The 25,681-nt window shown below is 35.4% G+C and overlaps 1 protein-coding gene across 22 annotated transcripts in view, besides 2 other annotated features; it reads left to right on the top strand.

Annotated features, from left to right (window-relative positions):
- The window catches only part of TBCK (TBC1 domain containing kinase), a 275,085-nt gene that overhangs the window by 93,244 nt on the left and 156,160 nt on the right, over positions 1–25,681 (top strand). For all 22 annotated transcript variants that reach the window (XR_001741353.3, XR_007057984.1, XR_007057982.1 and 19 more), the window contains one exon: positions 10,605–10,690. Coding sequence is in view for 17 of the 22 variants with exons in the window: in NM_001163436.4 (NP_001156908.2) it covers positions 10,605–10,690 (86 nt within the window). In the remaining 5 variants the exon portion in view is untranslated. The remainder of the gene's footprint in view (positions 1–10,604; positions 10,691–25,681) is intronic.
- Positions 9,058–9,719: an enhancer, noted in NCBI's record as "OCT4-NANOG-H3K27ac-H3K4me1 hESC enhancer chr4:107134878-107135539 (GRCh37/hg19 assembly coordinates)". NCBI's record gives its function as "activates a minimal SCP1, AML or CMV promoter by ChIP-STARR-seq in naive H9 embryonic stem cells {active_cell/tissue: H9 hESC(naive)}" and the evidence as "EXISTENCE:reporter gene assay evidence [ECO:0000049][PMID:30033119]".
- Positions 9,720–10,382: an enhancer, noted in NCBI's record as "OCT4-NANOG-H3K27ac-H3K4me1 hESC enhancer chr4:107134215-107134877 (GRCh37/hg19 assembly coordinates)". NCBI's record gives its function as "activates a minimal SCP1, AML or CMV promoter by ChIP-STARR-seq in naive H9 embryonic stem cells {active_cell/tissue: H9 hESC(naive)}" and the evidence as "EXISTENCE:reporter gene assay evidence [ECO:0000049][PMID:30033119]".

The following is a 25,681-nucleotide window of genomic DNA, read 5'->3' as shown; positions in this document are numbered from 1 at the left end:
AACTGGGACTCTCTCAGGCAAACTAGGAGATAAGTTCATACTACACATATATATTCAGTAACTCTTGGAAGGAGAAAGAGGAAGACAGACATACAAAGTCTAAAGTCCAGTTGTCAAAGGTGGGGTATAAAACTCTTCTTTCCCACCAAACTGTAACAATGAGAGCGAGAGAATATGCAATTTCACTCCAAAAGTTATGTATTTAGAAAGGTAGTGCATTGTATTAGGTTGGTGCAAAAGCAGTTGTGTTTTTTTCCATTACTTTTAATATATGTGCAGCTTAGTGCACATCTTTGCTTAATGACTTTAATGATATTTGGAGATTGTAGTATATACAGTCTTGGGATTTTTAAGAATATCTTGTATCATGTGACTGAGGAGATTTTTCCTGAAACAGTAAATGTCCTACCTACCTTTACTAGAAATATTATTATGATAACTATTAAGTGGGCTCATCTGTAGATTCTTTTTTTAGCTAGAGCAAGATATGTGAGAAGGAAAGAAAGTGGTTCACAAATGTAGCTCTAAAGATTACTTTTCTCTTTCCTTTCTCTTCTTTTGAACCCCTTCTTTCCACTTAGTTATAAAAGTTGGTGCTTGTTTTTTGTGCCTTTACTAGATAGGCCAAATTTTACAGCAGAAAACTTTGTAATGGGAAGTAATTCAGGTTCATTTGCATTAAAATAACCCTGCTTTTGAGTGCAGTGAGTCAACATTATCACCAAATGGTTTGGTTTGGGCACATTCTTAGTTGACAACAGATACATAACTCCCAACCTATCTATATTTATCATCTTCATGATAGACTAGTAGTCTGATGGAAAACAACAAATAGTTATGGAATTGAGAATACCATTTCTGATGTGTGAGCTGAGGAAAACATTTGTTTTAAATCCCACCCATCATCTTTCATCTTCTTATCCTAGCTAAAAGAGTCAAAGCTGAAAAACTTTTCGGAAGGGAAAAATAAGGATACCTATATGTAGGGCTTTCTGAAATTTTGTCTCTGCATATATTTTTTGGAAAACAGATGGCTTATTTATAAACAGTTGCACAAAAATATGATAGTGTCATATAAAATTCTTACAATAAATTTATTGGGGATTGTCATGTTAATATATATAACAAGCCATTTTAAAGGAGAGAAACAAAAATTTTTAATACAGAGCAATTAGAAGGGAAGATGACAATTTATTTTCATTTTATATTTCATTGGAAAAATTAAAAGTTATAAGGTTTTACAAATATAAAATGAAGAAAATTTATATTAGATAGATTTTATACTGTAATATAATAAACTTCACTTGAAGCTTAAATGGGAAATTTAATAAGAACCTTAATTTATTTGTTTAAATAATACCATTTACCTCTATATAGGTCATGTGTAGGTTAGAAAACACTATTTTTGAAGTTAAGACTCTAGATTCATATCCTTATTATATAGTATAAATCACAATTACAGATTTTTTTTAACTTTTAGATTCAGGGTACATGTACAGATTTGTTATATATGTAAATTGCATGTCATGGGGATTTGGTGTACAGATTATTTCATCACCCAGGTAATAAGCATAGTACCAGACAGGTAGGTTTTCAATCATCTCTCTCCTCTCACCTTCCTCCCTCAAGCGGTCCTGGAGTCTGTTATTCCCTTCTTTGTGTCCATGTCAATTACAGAGCTTTAACAATATTTTAATGTCTCCTTAAAAAGAGTCAAGATTCTATGATTCCATTGAATCCTTTGTTTTATTCTGTTTTTCTTTTTTTTTTGTAACTACTCTTGAATTCTTTGATTTGCAAATCAAAAGGCATATATTTATTTTGATATTTTAAAAATTTACACCAAGGGGCTTTTAAAAGCTTTTTTGAAATAACTGAGAATATTACATAGTGCAGATTTCATCAGCTGTCACATGTGCTCCCTTTAGAGACAGAACTTTGTAAATATAACAGGCCATATTGTTATCTCATTTGAAAGCCTGTCCTGAGCAACCAAAACTTATGCTAGTTTTACAAATTATATTTGCATATATGAAGTGATATATAACATATAACTTTTAATAATACATAAAATAAATTTATATATTTTATGTCTGTGTGTGTGTGTATATATATGTATATGCAGTTATAACATATAAATCCAATCATCAGTGTTGGCCAGGCACAGTGGCTCATGCCTGCAATCCCAGCACTTTGGGAGGCCAAGCCGGGCAGATCACCTGAGGTCAGGAGTTCGAGACCAGCCTGGCAAACAGGGTGAAACCCCGTCTCTACTAAAAATACAAAAATTAGCTGGGTGTGGTGGCAGGACAGTGTTTTCATGATGGATTAGATTTCTTCAGCAGATCCTTAATTAGCCATGTAATTTTACATAGTAATTATTTTTATCAGACTCAAATAAGAATGATATTTAATAAACTGGAGCATAGCTGTGGAAAATTGCCTGAGGTGTGAATTTCTGTTTTAAAATGAAGCATGCTTTTTAGAAGTTAATAACTGTATGCTTTCATTGATATATAGTTGAATGCTTGTAATTGTTGATGTCACATATCTCTGGCTTCTGAGTAAATTGGAATTACAAACACACCACCACTAATTGGAAGGAGAAATTAAAAAGTTAAAGAAAAGTTAAACCCAGAAGTTCCCTGGGCCCTTCAGATATATTTTGGGTCTTCACTTTGATCTATAACTCTTGAAACTGATGTAAATTGTACCTTTTTTGTGCAGAGAGGAAAAGGTGAGACAATGGACGGATAGAATGCATTTTGTGGCAGTAGAATTAACATCAAGTCAAGAAAAAGTATTACTTGAGTATCTTTTTTTTTTTAAATCCAGCATGGGTAAAAGTTCACATTAAATGAGGAATTCAGCTTGTCATGGAATACAGCACCTCATCTTTTTTTCTTTTTGCCCTGAAGCTCTTCTGTGTAGGATATGTGACATGTAAGATGTTTGCTTATAGGGAAATATCTATTGTATTTATCCATTTTCATGCTGCTGATAAAGACATGCCCGATACTGGAAAAAAAAAGAGAGGTTTAATTGGACTTACATTTCCACATGGCTGGGGAAGCCCCAGAATGATGGCAGGAGGCAAAAGGCACTTCTTACATGGCAGCGGCAGGAGAAGATGAGGAAGAAGCAAAAGCAGAAACCCCTGAAGAACCCGTCAGATCTCGTGAGACTTATTCACTATTATGAGAATAGCACGGGCAAGAGCAGCTCCCATGATTCAATTACCACACCCCGGTCCCTCCCACAACATGTGGGAATTCTGGAAGATACAATTCAAGTTGAGATTTGGGTGGGGACACAGCCAAACCATGTTATCTATAAAATTCATGTGATCATTGGAAGCAAAGGATTATTTGAGAAAAGTAAGGGAAGACTACTTGTACTGATGGACTGTCAATAATTTAGTACTATTTGTTCAAATATTAAAAGCTAAAAACTTTAAAAATTTAACAAATAACAAGGCAGACATTATTTTTTGAAGATTATTTTCACCAAATAATCGGTTTTAAAAATAGATGTTACTTTACTGTAGGAGAAAGTTGTGATTATGAAGGGAAAAGTTTTATGATGTTATTGTCATTTCAATTTCAAAAAAATGAGGTTGTCACCTGTAATCTCAGCACTTTGGGTGGCCAATACAGGAGGATTGCTTGAGCCCAGGAGTTTGAGACCAGCCTAGACAACATAGCAAAACCCAGTCTATATTTAAAAAAAAAAAAGTTGAGCTCATTGAAATATGTATTAATCTTGGTTTTTTAATTAGTAAAAATATAATAGTTACTTGCCCTTGAGTAGATTGTTAGCACTATCTTGTTTAGATTAGTGCATAGTGAGTAAACTGGCAAGAATAGTAACTTTGGAAGAATGAAAAAAATGAACATATTCCTCATATTTCAACTGAACTCTATGAATTCTAATAGAATTAGAATCAACAAAATATATTTTTAATTGCCTACCGTATCTCTACTTTCTGATTAAACATGGTATTCTTATGTCTTTTTTTATACTTTTAATTTTTATTTTTATTTATTTTTTATTTTTTTATTTTTTTATTATTATACTTTAAGTTTTAGGGTACATGTGCACATTGTGCGGGTTAGTTACATACGTATACATGTGCCATGCTGGTGTGCTGCACCCACTAACTCGTCATCTAGCATTAGGTATATCTCCCAGTGCTATCCCTCCCCCCTCCCCCCACCCCACAACAGGCCCCAGAGTGTGATGTTCCCCTTCCTGTGTCCATGTGATCTCATTGTTCAATTCCCACCTATGAGTGAGAATATGCGGTGTTTGGTTTTTTGTTCTTGTGATAGTTTACTGAGAATGATGATTTCCAATTTCATCCATGTCCCTACAAAGGACATGAACTCATCATTATTTATGGCTGCATAGTATTCCATGGTGTATATGTGCCACATTTTCTTAATCCAGTCTATCATTGTTAGACATTTGGGTTGGTTCCAAGTCTTTGCTATCGTGAATAATGCCACAATAAACATATGTGTGCATGTGTCTTTATAGCAGCATGATTTATAGTCCTTTGGGTATATACCCAGTAATGGGATGGCTGGGTCAAATGGTATTTCTAGTTCTAGATCCCTGAGGAATCGCCACACTGACTTCCACAATGGTTGAACTAGTTTACAGTCCCACCAACAGTGTAAAAGTGTTCCTATTTCTCCACATCCTCTCCAGCACCTGTTGTTTCCTGACTTTTTAATGATCGCCATTCTAACTGGTGTGAGATGGTATCTCATTGTGGTTTTGATTTGCATTTCTCTGATGGCCAGTGATGGTGAGCATTTTTTCATGTGTTTTTTGGCTGCATAAATGTCTTCTTTTGAGAGGTGTCTGTTCATGTCCTTTGCCCACTTTTTGATGGGGTTGTTTGTTTTTTTCTTGTAAATTTGTTTGAGTTCATTGTAGATTCTGGATATTAGCCCTTTGTCAGATGAGTAGGTTGCGAATATTTTCTCCCATGTTGTAGGTTGCCTGTTCACTCTGATGGTAGTTTCTTTTGCTGTGCAGAAGCTCTTTAGTTTAATTAGATCCCATTTGTCAATTTTGTCTTTTGTTGCCATTGCTTTTGGTGTTTTAGACATGAAGTCCTTGCCCATGCGTATGTCCTGAATGGTATTGCCTAGGTTTTCTTCTAGGGTTTTTATGGTTTTAGGTCTAACGTTTAAGTCTTTAATCCATCTTGAATTGATTTTTGTATAAGGTGTAAGGAAGGGATCCAGTTTCAGCTTTCTACATATGGCTAGCCAGTTTTCCCAGCACCATTTATTAAATAGGGAATCCTTTCCCCATTGCTTGTTTTTCTCAGGTTTGTGAAAGATCAGATAGTTGTAGATATGCGGCGTTATTTCTGAGGGCTCTATTCTGTTCCATTGATCTATATCTCTGTTTTGGTACCAGTACCATGCTGTTTTGGTTACTGTAGCCTTGTAGTATAGTTTGAAGTCAGGTAGCGTGATGCCTCCAGCTTTGTTCTTTTGGCTTAGGATTGACTTGGCGATGCGGGCTCTTTTTTGGTTCCATATGAACTTTAAAGTAGTTTTTTCCAATTCTGTGAAGAAAGTCATTGGTAGCTTTATGGGGATAGCATTGAATCTATAAATTACCTTGGGCAGTATGGCCATTTTCACAATATTGATTCTTCCTACCCATGAGCATGGAATGCTCTTCCATTTGTTTGTATCCTCTTTGATTTCCTTGAGCAGTGGTTTGTAGTTCTCCTTGAAGAGGTCCTTCACATCCCTTGTAAGTTGGATTCCTAGGTATTTTATTCTCTTTGAAGCAATTGTGAATGGGAGTTCACTCATGATTTGGCTCTCTGTTTGTCTGTTGTTGGTGTATAGGAATGCTTGTGATTTTTGCACATTGATTTTGTATCCTGAGACTTTGCTGAAGTTGCTTATCAGCTAAAGGAGATTTGGGGCTGAGACAATGGGGTTTTCTAGATATACAATCATGTCATCTGCAAACAGGGACAATTTGACTTCCTCTTTTCCTAACTGAATGCCCTTTATTTCCTTCTCCTGCCTAATTGCCCTGGCCAGAACTTCCAACACTATGTTGAATAGGAGTGGTGAGAGAGGTCATCCCTGTCTTGTGCCAGTTTTCAAAGGGAATGCTTCCAGTTTTTGCCCATTCAGTATGATATTGGCTGTGGGTTTCTCATAGATAGCTCTTATTATTTTGAAGTATGTCCCATCAATACCTAATTTATTGAGAGTTTTTAGCATGAAGGGTTGTTGAATTTTGTCAAAGGCCTTTTCTGCATCTATTGAGATAATCATGTGGTTTTTGTCTTTGGCTCTGTTTATATGCTGGATTACATTTATTGATTTGTGTATATTGAACCAGCCTTGCATCCCAGGGATGAAGCCCACTTGATCATGGTGGATAAGCATTTTGATGTGCTGCTGGATTTGGTTTGGCAGTATTTTATTGAGGATTTTTGCATCAATGTTCATCAAGGATATTGGTCTAAAATTCTCTTTTTTGGTTGTGTCTCTGCCTGGCTTTGGTATCAGAATGATGCTGGCCTCATAAAATGAGTTAGGGAGGATTCCCTCTTTTTCTATTGATTGGAATAGTTTCAGAAGGAATGGTACCAGTTCCTCCTTGTACCTCTGGTAGAATTCGGCTGTGAATCCATCTGGTCCTGGACTCTTTTTGGTTGGTAAGCTATTGATTATTGCCACAATCTCAGATCCTGTTATTGGTCTATTCAGAGATTGAACTTCTTCCTGGTTTAGTCTTGGGAGAGTGTATGTGTCAAGGAATTTACCCATTTCTTCTAGGTTTTCTAGTTTATTTGCATAGAGGTGTTTGTAGTATTCTCTGATGGTAGTTTGTATTTCTGTGGGATCGGTGGTGATATCCCCTTTATCATTTTTTATTGCGTCTATTTGATTCTTCTCTCTTTTTTTCTTTATTATTCTTGCTAGCGGTCTATCAATTTTGTTGATCCTTTCAGAAAACCAGCTCCTGGATTCAGTAATTTTTTGAAGGGTTTTTTGTGTCTCTATTTCCTTCAGTTCTGCTCTGATTTTAGTTATTTCTTGCCTTCTGCTAGCTTTTGAATGTGTTTGCTCTTGCTTTTCTTGTTCTTTTAATTGTGATGTTAGGGTGTCAATTTTGGATCTTTCCTGCTTTCTCTTGTGGGCATTTAGTGCTATAAATTTCCCTCTACACACTGCTTTGAATGTGTCCCAGAGATTCTGGTATGTTGTGTCTTTGTTCTCGTTGGTTTCAAAGAACATCTTTATTTCTGCCTTCATTTCGTTACGTACCCAGTAGTCATTCAGGAGGAGGTTGTTCAGTTTCCATGTAGTTGAGTGGTTTTGAGTGAGATTCTTAATCCTGAGTTCTAGTTTGATTGCACTGTGGTCTGAGAGATAGTTTGTTATAATTTCTGTTCTTTTACATTTGCTGAGGAGAGCTTTACTTCCAAGTATGTGGTCAATTTTGGAATAGGTGTGGTGTGGTGCTGAAAAAAATGTATATTCTGTTGATTTGGGGTGGAGAGTTCTGTAGATGTCTATTGGGTCCGCTTGGTGCAGAGCTGAGTTCAATTCCTGGGTATCCTTGTTGACTTTCTGTCTCGTTGATCTGTCTAATGTTGACAGTGGGGTGTTAAAGTCTCCCATTATTAATGTGTGGGAGTCTAAGTCTCTTTGTAGGTCACTCAGGACTTGCTTTATGAATCTGGGTGCTCCTGTATTGAGTGCATATATATTTAGGATAGTTAGCTCTTCTTGTTGAATTGATCCCTTTACCATTATGTTATGGCCTTCTTTGTCTCTTTTGATCTTTGCTGGTTTAAAGTCTGTTTTATCAGAGACTAGGATCGCAACCCCTGCCTTTTTTTGTTTTCCCTTTGCTTGGTAGATCTTCCTCCATCCTTTTATTTTTAGCCTATGTGTGTCTCTGCACGTGAGATTGGTATCCTGAATACAGCACACTGATGGGTCTTGACTCTTTATCCAATTTGCCAGTCTGTGTCTTTTAACTGGAGCCTTTAGTCCATTTACATTTAAAGTTAATCGTGTTATGTGTGAATTTGATCCTGTCATTATGATGTTAGCTGGTTATTTTGCTCCTTAGTTGATGCAGTTTCTTCGTAGTCTCGATGGTCATTACATTTTGGCATGATTTTGCAGCGGCTGGTACCGGTTGTTCCTTTCCATGTTTACTGCTTCCTTCAGGAGCTCTTTTAGGGCAGGCCTGGTGGTGACAAAATCTCTCAGCATTTGCTTGTCTGTAAAGTATTTTATTTCTCCTTCACTTATGAAGCTTAGTTTGGCTGGATATGAAATTCTAGGTTGAAAATTCTTTTCTTTAAGAATGTTGAATATTGGCCCCCACTCTCTTCTGGCTTGTAGGGTTTCTGCCGAGAGATCCGCTGTTAGTCTGATGGGCTTCCCTTTGAGGGTAACCCGACCTTTCTCTCTGGCTGCCCTTAACATTTTTTCCTTCATTTCAACTTTGGTGAATCTGACTATTATGTGTCTTGGAGTTGCTCTTCTCAAGGAGTATCTTTGTGGCATTCTCTGTATTTCCTGAATCTGAACGTTGGCCTGCCTTGCTAGATTGGGGAAATTCTCCTGGATAATATCCTGCAGAGTGTTTTCCAACTTGGTTCCATTCTCCCCATCACTTTCAGGTACACCAATCAGACGTAGATTTGGTCTTTTCACATAGTCCCATATTGCTTGGAGGCTTTGCTCGTTTCTTTTTATTCTTTTTTCTCTAAACTTTCCTTCTCACTTCATTTCATTCATTTCATCTTCCATTGCTGATACCCTTTCTTCCAGTTGATCGCATCGGCTCCTGACGCTTCTGCATTCTTCACATAGTTCTCGAGCCTTGGTTTTCAGCTCCATCAGCTCCTTTAAGCACTTCTCTGTATTGGTTATTCTAGTTATACATTCTTCTAAATTTTTTTCAAAGTTTTCAACTTCTTTGCCTTTGGTTTGAATGTCCTCCCGTAGCTCAGAGTAATTTGATCGTCTGAAGCCTTCTCTCAGCTCGTCAAAGTCATTCTCCGTCCAGCTGTGTTCCGTTGCTGGTGAGGAGCCGCGTTCCTTTGGAGGAGGAGAGGCGCTCTGATTTTTAGAGTTTCCAGTTTTTCTGTTCTGTTTTTTCCCCATCTTTGTGGTTTTATCTACTTTTGGTCTTTGATGATTGTGATGTACAGATGGGTTTTTGGTGTGGATGTCCTTTCTGTTTGTTAGTTTTCCTTCTAACAGACAGGACCCTCAGCTGCAGGTCTGTTGGAGTACCCTGCCGTGTGAGGTGTCAGTGTGCCCCTGCTGGAGGGTGCCTCCCAGTTAGGCTGCTCGGGGGTCAGGGGTCAGGGACCCACTTGAGGGGGCAGTCTGCTGGTTCTCAGACCTCCAGCTGCATGCTGGGAGAACCACTGCTCTCTTCAAAGCTGTCAGACAGAGACATTTAAGTCTGCAGAGGTTACTGCTGTCTTTTTGTTTGTCTGTGCCCTGCCCCCAGAGGTGGAGCCTACAGAGGCACGCAGGCCTCCTTGAGCTGTGGTAGGCTCCACCCAGTTCGAGCTTCCGGGCTGCTTTGTTTACCTAAGCAAGCCTGGGCAATGGTGGGCGCCCCTCCCCCAGCCTCGCTGCCGCCTTGCAGTTTGATCTCAGACTGCTGTGCTAGCAATCAGGGAGACTCCGTGGGGTAGGACCCTCTGAGCCAGGTGCAGGATATAATCTCGTGGTGTGCCGTTTTTTAAGCCCGTCGGAAAAGCGCAGTATTCGGGTGGGAGTGACCCGATTGTCCAGGTGCCGTCCGTCACCCCTTTCTTTGATTAGGAAAGGGAACTCCCTGACCCCTTGCGCTTCCCGAGTGAGGCAATGCCTCGCCCTGCTTTGGCTCGCGCACGGTGCGCGCACCCACTTGCCTGCGCCCACTGTCTGTCACTCCCTAGTGAGATGAACCCGGTACCTCAAATGGAAATGCAGAAATCACCTGTCTTCTGCGTCGCTCAGGCTGGGAGCTGTAGACCTGAGCTGTTCCTATTCGGCCATCTTGGTTCCTCCCCCGGTATTCTTATTTCTAAATATGCCAAATTGCTAAGTCTTAGATGGAAATAAATTAGAACTGGAACAGATGCCTATATAGAGGCATATGTTTTATCTGTATATATAAACAAATTTGAGACATTATTATTCCATTTGTGACTGCTTATAAATGTTCTCCTTCATTTAAGGATCTGCTACACTTTCTGAACATTCAAGAAATACAAAGCAGATTTAATATTACCAGAGAAAATGTGCTTGTAGAGTTTAACAGGAAAACATTATTTATCATGTGTACAATTTGTGACTCAAGAAATGAACTGATAACTCTGAAGGCAGAAAATAGGTTATGACAGTTTGTTGGTGTGCTTGTTTAATAATTAGCAGTAAGTAATTAAAATAGTAACAAAACAAAATTATCACGTAAAGTATTCTCATGGAGAAATTAAATCTCATTCAATGTATAAATAAAACTATATTTGAATATAATGTTCTTGGAGTACTGTGTAAAAATGATGATTGTCTCAAACTTTGTAATTTCAGAGTATCTGACTGTCTTCTCTCAGATGATTGCATTTCATGATCCAGAGCTGAGTAATCATCTCAATGAGATTGGTTTCATTCCAGATGTAAGTACTTGGTGCATTAATAGAACATGTGGTTAAAAAAAAAAAGCAGAAATTATTAGCACAGAAGAGTGTATTTTCTTAATTTTTGTTGTCATAGTGCATATCTGAACAAGTTACTGCTACTAATTGTAGCCTTGTATTAGTAAGTTTGTGGCTACTTTCCATATTTCCACCTTAAGTAATGAAAATAAGTCATTTTTCTTAGCATAGTTGATAGTTTTGAGAAAATCATTAGTGATAGTGTTGTATTAAACTGTGCTGTGTAGGCTTTTCACTTGGATTTTATGATATTCAGGCCTGATTTTGAAGATATAGGAAGTCTATACTTAAGTGAAAGTAACTTCTGTGTTTTACTTGATACTACTTTGGGAGCTTAGATAGATTTTGGGTTTTCTTTTCTCTGTAGTCCACATCAAGCTAAAAGTCAGAGTTGAAAATCAAACGTTAGCTGTAGCGTGACTTAGCCTGTTTTTTATTTGTTGTTTGTCACATAGAATCAAGCCCTTTTTAAAGGCTGTTGAATAAACATATATCAAAACATCACATTGTATCCAATAAATGTATACAATTATTACTTATCAATTAAAAATAACAAATGAAAGTGGAGAGGAAAATAAATTAATAACAAAAGTTAGCTGCTTGGTGATGGGGATGCAAGTGGTAGCGTGGGTGCAAAGGAAATTGTTTTCTTGTTACATTTGACATTAAAAAATTTTTTTTAACACTGTGAATGTATTATTCATTCAAAAGTTAAGCTGAAGGCACCTGACCTCAAGCAATTATAATTTTTTAGGAAGATACTTTATTAAAAATTATTGATAAAAAACCAAAATGTTCACATTACATATCATTAAAGTAGGAAATGTAATTTATAAAATAATATTATGGTATTATCTCATTTTCATAAAATAGAATTTAGTGTATATGTGTATATACATAGGAAAAGTTGAAAGGCTATACTCTAGAATATTAATTATGATTATGTAGGGTTACAGGAGTTATGGGTACCGAGGGGGCTTAAGTGCAATTTTTAATTGTTTTCATTTAAGGTGTTTTTTTTGTAATGTTAAAAACTTCCTAAAACTATATTATGTGATCATGTTTAATAGAATACTATAAAGCAGTTTCTTAAAAACTGTTTATTCTCACAATGCATGGGAAGAAATACATTTTATATTGAGACCTGGGGCACACAGAATTCGAGTGGTGTTGTGTATGTGTGTATACAACTAAAATAAGTTTTACAAAACAATGTTTTCTGCCTCCTACATGTGATGCATTGTGTTATTTTTGAAAAGTCTACATTTAATAAGATGATTTTATAAACCTAAATTTGAAAAATACTTATATAAGGAATTTAAAAAATCAATAAAAACTGATTTTTAAAATTAAAGAATAAAAATAAAAGGCTGTTGGAGTATAATATCATTATAAATGTGAGGTATAATACAATATAGATCCAATCTTATGGCTAGAGTTGAAGAAGCTGTCAAGGAGCTGACTGCCAAGTTGGTAATGGTGTTAGATTTTTGAGTAAAAAAGAATATTAAGTATTTAAAATTTAGACTAAAAAAGATAATTATTTTCAAAAAATTTTTGTAAAGGCACCTAATTAAATTGTGCTCAGCACTGAACAGAAACAGAAAACATTTATGTAGACAAGTATGTTTGGAAACCAGGTGCGGTGGCTTATGCTTGAAAGGCTGAGGCAGGAGGATCACTTGAGGCTAGGAGTTTGAGACCAAAACAACATAGCAACACTTCATCTCTTTAAAAAATAATGTGTAGAATTATAAAGATAATCCAATAAAAATCCTTAGACATATTCATGAACAGAGATAATATTAAGAAAGGAAACACACAAGGACAAATAACTTTAGTTAATCAGAAAATTGAATTCTGAATGAGTATGATGTAAGAAACAATGTTGAGTTAAAAATATTGTTAAAACATAATTAATGTGAATACATATTAAATGTTTACTGTGTACCAAGCACTTTTCCACCCTCTTTAAATATTATCACTCATCAAATACTACAAGTTTATAAATCTGTGTAAAAAGTTACTTAAATATATATAAATCCACTTTGGGAAGGGCTAATAATAAGGTGAAAATAAAATTCTAAATAATAACGTGAAAGGTAAAAGTAGGTGGGAATCAGTTAAAATGTGTTCTAATGTTTTAGCATTATTTAGAGGGAATGCTCATTTTATTTAGACATTAAGTCAGGGAACCTTTCAGATCTGAGATTTGATTGTACCCTCCTTGAAAGCTTATAAGTTAGCCTATTACTGTTTTCTGGATACAGGCAGAAAATGCAAGATTCCTGGGCCAGAGACCAAGGACATTATCACTAACAGTACAGCAAGCAGCATGAACATTAGCATATTTGTGTTGGTTTCTCTTGCTCTCAAATCCTATGGAAACAACATCAAGGACCCAGATGATACCTGCATATGTAGTGGATTACATTACAAGAGAGAAACCATGAGCTTAAGGAATTGGATTTTTTTTTTGCCTTCCCTTTGTTCAAGAGAGAGAGCCTGTCTTTTTCTTCTAAGGCTATTAGTAAATCTGTCTTTTGTCTAGAAGGAGATTCCATTTCTGCTTTCCAAGGCTGTTTTTTATACAAACATATTTGAAAAGATAGTCTAGAACAAAGGACAGTAAATGTCTCTCCTCACAAGAAATTCAGAAGTTCAATAATGCACATTAAAATTTTAATTTAATGGTAATCCTGAAAAGAATAAAGAGAGAATATGTAACTTCTAAACCAATGGAGGGGTGCAGGATAGAACAAAGAAAAGACATTTAATCTTATAAAAGCAGAAAGAACATAGAAAGAATGTAAGCTAATTAAATGGCTTATTAAAGGAGATTTTCAGATATTTTTGAAAATCTATCTTGATAGTACTTATAAGAGATAAATATAAAAACTTAAAGATATTGGCCAAAGGAGATTAAAAAAAAGTCAGGCAATTAACCAGAACAACATTAGTGATATTAATAGAAGCTAGTAAAATACAAGAGAGAACACAAAACAGACCCATCCCTGTATAGAATTTGGTGATATATGACAGAGATGACCATACAATCAATTAGAAAAGAAAGCATTGTTGATGGTCCTGATTGAGTAACTATGTGGATGTGGAGGGCAGTGTAAATGAAAGCCTAACTTCATACCACACATAAAAATAAATTCTAGATCCATTAGAAGACTTAAATATGGAATATTATATTTGTATTTTTTTATCTAAGAAATAATTCTTATTAAGGTTACAGAAAGTATAAAACATAAATTTAAAAAGAGAGGATTGAAATTCAGGAGTAGTACAAAAGGGGCTTCTATTGTATTGGTCATATTTTATTTTGGTTTAAAAAATTTTAGAGTAAATGTGGCAAAATGTTAATGCTTGTTAAATCTGAGTGGAGAGTACATTGGTGTTAAGTGTGCTGCTATGCAGGGTGAGTGAATTACTCAATAACTAAATAATTGTGACATAATATATTTATTTATGCTTCCCTGTTATGATCTACACATAAAATTACTGGAGCATTATTGCTTAACTTCTTGTAAAAAAGTTCTGCAATTGTAGTGTTATTAAGAAAGTAATATTGATTTGTATAGTGACAGAGGATTTTTTCAGTGTCACTTTGCCAGCAGAGATCTTCATGGTGGGCATTGCCCCTGCCCATGTCTCACTTGGCCCTGGGCTTGCCCCACTAGGTACCCTGCCCACCTGGCCAGGCAGGCTGTGCTTGGCTTGAGCTCTGGCCCAGATCCTGCACTTGCTCTGCGGCTGAGCCAGGCATGCCATGACCTACTTCCACCTTGGGAGCCGGCGTCTGGATGAGGGGAATGCTGTGACACTTGAACAGAGGTGGGCATGTGACCCCAAAGCCCCAAAGGGGGTGTTACAGCATGCTAACAGTTCTTTCAGTCTCACATCCACAGCCCAACAAATGGAGGTGTGTGGTGCCCAGAGGTCCCTTCTCCCATTGTTTGGCAAGCAGGAGGGGTGTGCTACAGGGTTACAGCTTTGTTTGCACTTGCCGTTTGGTGGGTCCTGAGTTCTTTTCCCATGTCCAAGAATAAGGTTGTGCTGACAGCTAGCGGTTGAGTGAGGCAAAGAGTTTTACTCAGTAACAAAACAGCTCTCAGCAGAGAAGGAAGCCTGAGTTGGACAGCACCCTTACCTGAAGTTGGGTAGTCTTCCCACCACCTAAAAGTGGGTAGCCCAAAGTGTGGCTGAGCCTGGGGCTTTTATATGCTCAGAATGGGAGTGTATGTGCTAATTGGTTTGTGAGTATGCAAAAAAAGCTAAAAAAAAAAAAAAAAGGCACCACTCAAAGATGGCCACAACAGTGTAAAAAACTAATTAGGGAAGGGTAGGTATATGTAAAATAGGTGAATGGTAGGGATCAATCAGAGGAAAGTGTGCCATACGGGAGAGGTTCTCAATACATTCTGTAGATATGTATGAGACCTGTATCTTGGTTTTCAGACCTTAAACTGTCTTTGGTTTAAGATTGGATTACACTGGGGACTTGCCCCATCTGCCTAGGGATTTTTCTGCCTCCTGCTGCTATCAATGGTAGTGTGATTAGTCTTCAGAGACAGTTTTAAGTCATATGGGATGGGAAGTAATTCTTTGTGGGATAGGAATATCCAGCACATGGCAAATGCTGAGCATCCCTGACCCCCAACCACTCATTGCCACTAGCAATCCTCTAATCATCATTACAAAAAAATGCCTCTACACTCATTTCTGAGTAATTAATTCACATGTATTTCTGAATGTCCTCTAGCAAACGGTTCTGTCACTTGTTAAGAATTTTAGAGTAAACAGAAAGAAATGAGGGGAAATAATATATCTTAACCTGAAGAAGAGTCCCATCTACAACTGTTTTCTTGTCACAGAGAGTGGGCAAAGTTATTCAACAAAGAAAGCTAAAATGTTAATAGGAAGACTGTTTTTTGAAATCTTTTTCTTTGTGTTTGTTTTTTAATTCAGCTGTTTTTCAAGCCTGTGGATAATATAAAAATGATGAGGCCTTTTTTAAATTCAATTTTGTGAACAGATTTAATGTTTCAATGTAGACATTATTGACAGTGAGTACTTATGGGAGGGGCATGATGAAATGGAGGACTTTTAAAAACATTTTTTAACTCTATTAATAACATATTTTAGTTGTATTTTATTAGTTTGTGTATATAGCATTTTTTAAAAATTCTGAATGGTTGTCTTTAATGTTCTACCTTTAATTATTGAGGTAACTTTCTATGCCTCTAACAACAATACAAGCTAGATTCATCAAGTAAAAGAGTGGGTACTTTGATAATGATTTACCAAACCGAGTTTCCTACTCAAGAACTAAACCTATCAAAGTAAGCCCTCATTAATCTTTCATCATTGAAATTCAGGCTTCCATTGCAGTAGAGATTGTGATTTCTGGCTTTTTTCCTTTTGCTCTGGGTCACGGAACTCTGAATACTGAGCACTGCTAAAGCTTGAATAGTTAGAAATATTGTACACTGATGTGATGCCTAGATTATACATTTCATGGTAGTTATGTGATTTACATATAAATAGGGTGAATAATGTGTATTTGATAAAATTGGAGACAGGGTGATATTTATCATTTTTGTCTTGATATGTGTTTCTGCTTTTAAAAATATAGTAGGCCTCATTTAAAATGAGATCAGGAAAGTATGATTCATTCTTAAGGGAACTGTTTTCCTGAAATTCTGTGAATAGTATTCAGCTTGCAAATTATGAAGAGTTGTCAGGTAACCATTAAGAGAAATGATAAGGAGTGTATCAGTACTATATGTGCCTTTTCAACCTACTGTCACAGCTAAAGATAAAGCTAACAAATTCCATGATATGCTGGTAAAGCCATTGACATTTAACTACAATCTGAAAGGATGCTTATACTACTTAAAAGCTTATCACAATCATTTTCAAAATGTATATTCAGCCGAGTTTAAACTGCTCAGAAATATTTATGTATTTGTTCCTTCATTTGTTCTTTATCTTCATTATGTTGTTACGTAAATAAATTTTAGATTTTAGTCTAAAGAGAATACTGACAATGAGCTTTTCAGATTTTATCAAGATGTAATTACAGGAAAAACTAGGAATATCCACCTTATTTAGAATATCTCATAATAAGAGTCCTACTAGCCTGTTATAGTCTCTCTGAAGAGTCCTGTGATGTGTCCTCTTGTCTGGTAGCTGCTATGTCCCCAACATTAGTACAAACCCCATTCTACTGGCATTGGATCCATTAAGGCCTTTGAATACAAATGGCTTATTAAAGTCTCTCTCTCGTAGTGAAGCTTGATTACCTTTCAGAAAGTGCCCAGATTTTAGAAATCAAAGTGGCTATTAATAGTATCAGGGATGATAAAATGACATTTTTGGTACTTTCTAGCCAAAAAACTATACACACAAGTTAAATATCTAGCAAGTTTTCCAATTCAGTAAATCCTCATTTGCATTACCCCCACATCTGTTTCTAATCTAATGATTCCTTATGCTGTCCAGAAACAGGTGAAAGGAAGTATGGCATAATGGAGCAGTTCTAAAACATTTTGCTCTCAGAACCCCTTTATATTCTGAAAAATTATTGAGGACCTCAAAGAGTTTTTGTTTACATGAGTTATAGCTATCGATATTTATAGAGATTTAAAATATATTTATGTATTTATAATTCATTTAAAAATAACAATAACAAAACCATTGCATGTTAACCAAAGTAACATATTTTTCTGAGAAATAGTTACATTTTTCCCCAAAAATGCAATAGTGGTATTGTTTTACCTTTTTATAATCTTTTACATTTTTATAATCTTTTTACTTGTTTAACTATATGAAGAAAATGTGACCTCACACAGACACGTTAATAGTTTCTCAGATAGCGGTAGTTTCTTAAACTTCTCAGAGCAGTGGTTTTTTTTGTTTTTTTTGTTGTTTTTTTTTTGAGACAGAGTCTCACTCCATCACTCAGGCTGGAAGTGCAGTGATCTCGGCTCACTGCAACCTCTGCCTCCCGGGTTCAAGCGATTCTCCTGCCTCAGCCTCCCAAGTAACTGGGATTACAGGTGTTTGCCACCATGCCTGGCTAATTTTTTTTTTTTTTTTTTTTTTTTTTTTTGTATTTTTAGTGGAGAGGGCTTCACCATGTTGGCCAGGCTGGTCTTGAACTCCTGACTTCAAGTGATCCACCTGCCTTGGCCTCCCAAAGTGCTGGGATTACAAGCGTGATCCACTGTGCCTGGCCTCATTGTTTCTTAAAGCTAGTTGCTATGTACAGTCTAAAACCATGTCAGTGAACTTCTCATACTCTGTTATACTAAAATCCATCACTCTATCTTGCAATTTAGATGGCTCTTTTACTCATACATAATTTTGTAGTGTCATGAATTTGTCATTGAAAAATATTGGTTGCTGAGTTACACAGATCTTCCAACTATGAAGCATTTCATTATAGAATATTTTTAAAATCACATTTATTAATATCACAACAGGTCTTCTCCAAAAAGTGATTAAGTATTGGGAACCGACCAATTTCACAGTGGCAGATATTAGCTTTCCAAAATTTTAATCTTCGCCTAAAAGCTCTCATTTTTTCTTAAAGTAACTGTTTCACTTTGTACATTTAAAAAAATCATTGTTTGGGCCGGGCGCGGTGGCTCACGCGTGTAATCCCAGCACTTTGGGAGGCCGAGGCGGGTGGATCATGAGGTCAGGAGATCGAGACCATCCTGGCTAACAAGGTGAAACCCCGTCTCTACTAAAAATACAAAAAATTAGCCGGGCGCGGTGGCGGGCGCCTGTAGTCCCAGCTACTCGGGAGGCTGAGGCAGGAGAATGGCGTGAACCCGGGAAGCGGAGCTTGCAGTGAGCCGAGATTGCGCCACTGCAGTCCGCAGTCCGGCCTGGGCGACAGAGCGAGACTCCGTCTCAAAAAAAAAAAAAAAAAAAAAAAAATCATTGTTTGTCTGTCATTCTTTCAAATAAACATAGTATTTCTTGCAGAAACCATCAATATTAGCTCACAGATGATTACCCAAGTGCTTTACCTCTTTGTACTTCAGTAGATAGCACAAGTGCTTTACACTTACTTCCATTTTATTTCACAAATTTTAAAAGAGATATTTAATAAATTTAATAATTTTTACTCCTTCACATGACCATTATTATACTTCGGTGCCTGTGCCTTAAATTGTGCTAACATGCCAGCAGTTTTATCCACCAGTGGCTTTGCACCATTAGCATAAATATCAATCCAGTAAAAAGAGCAAATCATCTTAGTATTATTACAAAAATAGCTTTGAATTGGTGGACCCCGAAGGGACTTAAGGACCGCCAGGGCCTGTGACCAAGATTTAAGAAAGCTGGTGTAGAGGTTAAGTACTCAGACACTTGTGCCAAATGGTCCAGGGTTCTAAATTCTGGCTATTCCATATACTAATTACATAATCTATTTTTAGCTTTAGTTTTAGTTTTTTCCCTGCAACCCTCTTACCATTGATGTAGATTATAATAAATTCTACCTCATAATGAAGTTTAGAGAATGCATATAAACTGTTCAACACAGCTCCAGGCACACTATAATTGTTAAGGGGTATTGTTCTTTATTTAATATTACTAGAGTTTGATCATGTTGCATTATTTCTTTTATTAGCATGATTCATATTTAGAAGAACATTATATTACAAGCTATAATGGATATATTATTTTGCTACATCAGTTAATGAATACTCTGTCAGAGGAGGTATGGTACTAATAACAATAAAGACTTTCAAGGTTGTCTGAATTGATGAGATTTTCTGCCACTTTGAATTTTAATCTTTTTAATTGCTTGATTTTAAGGTACTTCTCTATCTCAACAAAGTGCTACATAACATGTTTTATAGTCTTTCTTTTACTTAAAGTAAATTAGAATGAATTATGTTTGAAAATTTTGAAAAGTTTTTTGTAGTAATCAATGAAATAATTGAAATATATTCTGGAATAATAGCTCATCTTTCCCAAAAATGATAATGTAGATCTCAGAACCATTAAATTATCTGAGTGATTTTCTTGTAAGTTTTCAGTGTATAGTTCTTTTGTTCAATATTGTAAGCCAACTGAGAATAAATAATAAAAGGTATGTTTATACAGTTAGTTATTTTTTATTTGTTTCTTTTTTTATTTAGAGAAATCATGACCTGTAAAAGATATAACTAATATAATCTTTGGTATATAGAGGAAAAAAATTAACCATTTACTTTTTGGGTCCAAGGGATCTTTTACATTATTTTTATATGTTTAAGTCATTTTGTGAATAATTTGCAGAAGTAGAATAAAGCATAGTAAAAAACTGTATTAAAATATTAAGAATTTAAACACAACAAACCCAAAATTTTATGTCATATATTCCTTATTTTGAAAGTATATATATATATATATATATGTGAAAATATATATGTGTATATGTCCTTTGAACTTACTGCTCAGCTGTCATACATGAGCCTGAAGGATATCCATCATATAAATACTGATTCCGTATTTCAAATATGTCTCTCATAGGTTCTAGCTGATTTCTGGTTCTTCTTGCACTTGCATGGTTATAACACAGTCATCAAAATGAAACACTGACAGAGCTCATAACTTGGTTGAAGAACAGCTGTCTTTTATTCCATAATTTGAAAACATTTTCATTTTTAGATTTATGAACACAAATTAGAATAAATTTAATTTTTATTTCTATATCATCTATTTATAATTACATTGCAAACACATACACTTATAGCATTTATTTGCTTAAACTGTATCAAAAATTTTGGTGCACAAATATCATAAAAAATCAAATATTACTCTCATATATCCTTTTAGCAAAGTAAAATGGTCCAGGTTTCTTATTGCAAAATATTGTGTGGTGAGGCCCTTCACATTGAATGACTGACTGAATGAGAATTCCAGACTTATTTATTGTTTACTCTGATAGCTGTGTTTGAGGAAATTCACCTAAGAGACTGTCATCTGAGCACTCACAATTTGCAATATCACTTGTGTGACTAATTTTACCATTTGACTTGAGTTAAACTGTTGCTATCTTTTTGCATTCATCTTCTGATTAGTCCAGTAATTGTAAAACATTTTCCCCTGTTATGAAACAGTTTTCTCTTTTCTTTTTAATAATAAAGGTGGAAAATGGAAAATTCTCAATCTTTAGCTGTGTTCAATGAAAACGTAAAAAAACAACAAAAAATCTATAATGATGGTGTCTCTGTACATCTTTCATATCTTCTTGAAAGATGGTGCAATACTATGGCTAGCACAAAAAGAAAAATGAAGGATGGCATAATAGTGATGATTTATTTTAGTACTGTGCTATCCTTGTAGATGATTCCATCATTCTTCTGTTTTCTTATTAGTATTTTTAAGCATAGTTGAGAATAATTAATTGGTATTGATGAAATAATTGTTACTGATAAATAAAATATTTTATACAGTGCCTAGGAGTCTATTCTTTTTATTTTCTGCTCATGCCTCTCCTAATTTAAAAAAAAAAAAGTGTGTATCTTTTGTTATATGACTTAATGAGGTTACCTCAGAACTTTGGCTTGTTAAAATACTTTTCCATTACTGAAGATTCTGGGTGATCATTGTAACTCCTATATTTAAGTTTACTAAATGCCAGATGTTCTAGATCCATTAACTAATCTTCACAATAATCCTAAAGGTTCAAGGAGATAACTTTATCAGGTCGCAAAGTGCAGATTTTTACACATTCTTTTCTGGAATGTCTGTATATATGTTTCCTAATGTACATATAAAGAATCATTGCAAAAGCATTAAACTAATGGTCAATATGTATTACAGAGAAGGCATATAATAATTTAAATATGAAAATACTTCTGACTTAAGATAGACAATATAGTATGCTTATAAAGGATGTGGATTAAGAAAATCAATAGAAAGGGACTCCTCTTTGTAGTAGTAAAACATAATTTTCTGCTTTTCAAAATCAAGAAAATTATCCCCCTTCCTTTGTTTTTCCTATTGATGGTTCTCCCTTCCTTTGTTTTTCCTATTGATGGTTCTAAATTTGACATTACCAGACCACATGGAAGGATCTCATGAAATGCTAAATATCACTACTCTTGCTTGATATTGCTAGGGGGCAGTATTTACTTAGCTGACTGTGTAGAATAGCACTACACCAAATCAATTGTACATAATTTCATGATCTGGAGAAAATACTTAGAGTATGTATGATTTCTTTTCATTGGATTTCATTTTCTATTAAATCAGGAAATAGCTAATAATATCTCTAATATTAAATTGCTTTTCTTTTTAATCAAAACCCACCTGGTATTCAAAATTATTGTATCTTGATGTCTTTTTTATATCAGGCTATATTATGAAGCTGTGCCAATATCCTGAGTAATTATTTAAGATGAAAATATCAATATTTTAAACGGGAGAAATATAGAAAGAAAAAATAATAGACATTACTATCTCACAGAGTACATTACTTATTTATTAATCTTAATTATCCTTAATTGGTAAGAGATAACTGGTTCTGGTAAGCACCTAGGAGCTGTTATATGTTATATTAAAGATATTTATTCAACTTGAACTAATTATTACTTTTCAAATATCATTAGAATAAGCTTTGTTTTGCTTATTTTAAATAATTTTTTATAATTATTATCAAAGTATAGGTATATAACAAAATCTCAAGTTTAATTTTTTTAAATACATGCCATTATTTAATATGAAGGATTTTTCCCCAATATTAAGCAAGGAAGGACTAACTCATTTTCTCATTATTTCATATTTGTTGAAAACTTCTTAAGAAAATATATAATCTCATGACTATTTGGATCTTTTAATTTATCACTTTCATTGATTTTCATTGTGTTTTTCATTCATTCTTTCAACAAATATTTGATTGATCCTTTCAACAAATATTTGTGTGCCTATTATGTGCCAGACATTTTTCTATGCCATGGATAATATATCAGCAATAAAATAAGAGATAGACAAAAATATCTGACCTCATATTCTAGAGTAAATAGACAATAATGAAGATAAATATATTATATGGTAGGTAGTGGTAAGTTCTAATTTAAAAAAAAAAGCTAAAGCAGAGGTATGGATGTTATGTGCTCAGGTAAAGAAGAGATTGAATTTTCATTATTTATTTCTGAGACAGGGTCTTGCTCTGTCACCTAGGCTGGAGTGCAGTGGTGTGATTATGGCTCATTGCAGTCTCAACCTCTTGGGCTCAAGTAATCCTCCCTCCTCAGCCTCCCAAGTAGCTGGGACCACAGGCATGCGCCACCAGACCCATCTACTTTTTAAATTTTTTGTAGACATGAGGTCTCCCTATGTTACCCAGGCTGGTCTTGGATTCTTGGCTCAAGCAGTCCTCCCGCTTTGGCCTCCCAAAGTGCTGAGATTGTGGGAATGAGCCACTGCACCTGGCCATGAATTTTGAAATAAGTAAGGTAACCAAGAAAACCTCACAGAAAAGTTGACTTATGAATAAATGCTTTAAGAAAGCAAAGGAAAGAGCAAACCAAGCGAAAGCAGCAGCAGTTGCTACAGCCCTGATGTGGAAGCATATCAGAGATGTGGAGGAGCAGCCAGTAGACCATTGTAACTAGAGCACAGTGAACAAGAAGATAAGGTCAAATAGGTAATAGAGGGCCATATTACATAGTTTTGTTGATCATCATTAGGACTTTGGCTTTTATTGTTAGAGGTGGAAAGCCACTGATGCTTTTGAGCAGAGGAGTGATGTCTCATGTAAAGATTTTAACAAGGTCATTCTGGCTGCTATGCTGAGAAAAATCGAAGGATGGGCAAGAATGGAATCTAGGAAACTAGTCATGGACTATTGCAATAGTCTAGGCAAGAGATAATGTTGGCTCGAATCAAGATATTAGCAGTGGAAGTAGTGGGAAGTTTTTATATGCTGCATATCTTTTGAAGGTAGAGCCAGCAGGACTACTGGTGACAAATATACAGTGTGTGAGGAAGAGAGGAGTCAAGTACCTGAGCAATTGAAAGGGGATAGAGTTGCTTCTAACTGAGATTTGGAAACTACTTGGAGGTATAGATTTTGAAGGAAGTCTCAGAAGCTCGTTTTAGGATATGTGTATCTGTTAGACATGCAAGTGGAGAAAACAGGCATTTGGATATACAGTTTCAGAATTTGTAGGAGAGGTTTAGGGATGGAGCTGAAATAGGGTCCTCAAACTACACAGTTATTTGGAGAAAAATAGAAAAGAAAAGAAAAGGTATCTAAGAACTGAACCTGGGACACTCCAGGTTGAGAGTGAGAGAGAGGAAGAGGAACCAACAAAGGAGATGGATAAGGAGCAATCAGAAAGATAAGAACAAAACTAGGTGAGTATGGTGTTTTGGAAGCCAAGTGGAGGGAAAAAAATGTTCTGAAGAAGTGGGAATAGTCAACTTTGTCAAATCCTGCTGATTGGTAAAGAAAGATTGCAATTGAGAATTGGCCATTAGATTTAATGACATAGAAATTATTGATGACCAAGGTAAGAACAGTTTCAGTGGTGAGGTGGAGGCAAGAACTTGATTAGAGTGGGTTGAGAGACTATTTAATGAATATCTACTGCTCTTATTGTAAGTTCCCTGTAGCCTGGAACTATGCTTTGTTCACTGCTATAGCCTATCACCTAACACAGATCTGGCATGTATTAGGCACTTAGTAAATATTGAATTAATGAATAAATGAGTAAAATAACATTTATTCACAAGAATCCTATCATTCTCCTGCAGAGAATATGATAGGAAAGGCCATAAGCTCCTGTAACTTTGCTGCCATTACCTTATACCAGAACTTGTATTGTCGTACTTAATAGTAAAGCATTTTAGGTATCTGTTCGTATGTCTGACTCTTCTGCTAGAGTGGGACACGTGGCATTTAGCACAAAGCATTTCATATTGAATAAATGAACAAAAGCAAGCATGAATGAATGAAAGAGTGAATGAATATACCCAGAATTAAGTATAGTACAAGTATGTTGTGATAGGTAATTATAATATAAAAATGATTACCATGATTATATATAATACAACTATATTATATATGATACAAAGCATAGTGGGATAGGTATCATAAAAAATATACAAAAAGTTTTCACAGAACAAGTGGCATTTGAGGCAGGCTTGGAAAAATCTTGTAGAGCTTTGGATTGATGGAAATGATCAGGAAGGAGCATTCAAAGAAGAAAATGCAAAGTGCATCGTTAGGAAAGTAGTGTGTTCAGATCATAGTAAATCTGCCTTCTCAGGAAGTAGAACATGTGTAGGGAAGTAGTAAGGTGCAAAGAAATTTAGAGTTTCTTATACTGATATTAATAATAATACTACTTTAAATTTGCAGGTTGTTACTGTTTACAAAGCATTTTCACATATATTATTTCCACATCACACCATCTCTATGACATAGTTAAGACAGACATTAGTTTTCCTATTTCAAAAACGAAGATCTGGGATTCACAGAGGTTAACTAACTTGACCAAGGCACGCTATCCAGTAATCATCAGAGTCAAAACTCAGTTGTATGTTTTCTGACTCCAAGTCCTTGGCTTTTTCACTAATTCACAGTGGCCTTAAATGCATGAGTACAAAATTGTACTTAATTTGGTATGCAGTGGGAACATATTGATGTGGTGGAACAGAGGAATGATGTCATCACAGTTGCATATTTAGAAAAATCAATTTGGCTAAAGGAAATATTGGACCAGGTAGAACCTGAACAACTATGAAACATTTGCAGTAGTCCATGAAAGAAGAATGAGAACCAAAACAAGATTAGTTCAGTATGAATGGATAGAAACAGAAGACTGAAGAGACCTTGTAAAAATAATATCTATCAGACTTACTTTTATACCTAAGATTTTTCTACCTAAGTGACTATAATAATGGTGTTGGTAGAAAAAAGAGGCAGTT

The sequence above is a fragment of the Homo sapiens genome, chromosome 4, assembly GCF_000001405.40.
Source record: "Homo sapiens chromosome 4, GRCh38.p14 Primary Assembly".
NCBI classification, from domain to species: Eukaryota; Metazoa; Chordata; class Mammalia; order Primates; family Hominidae; genus Homo; species Homo sapiens.
Note: the sequence above shows the minus strand (reverse complement) of the source record. Positions and strands in the feature narration are given on the sequence as shown.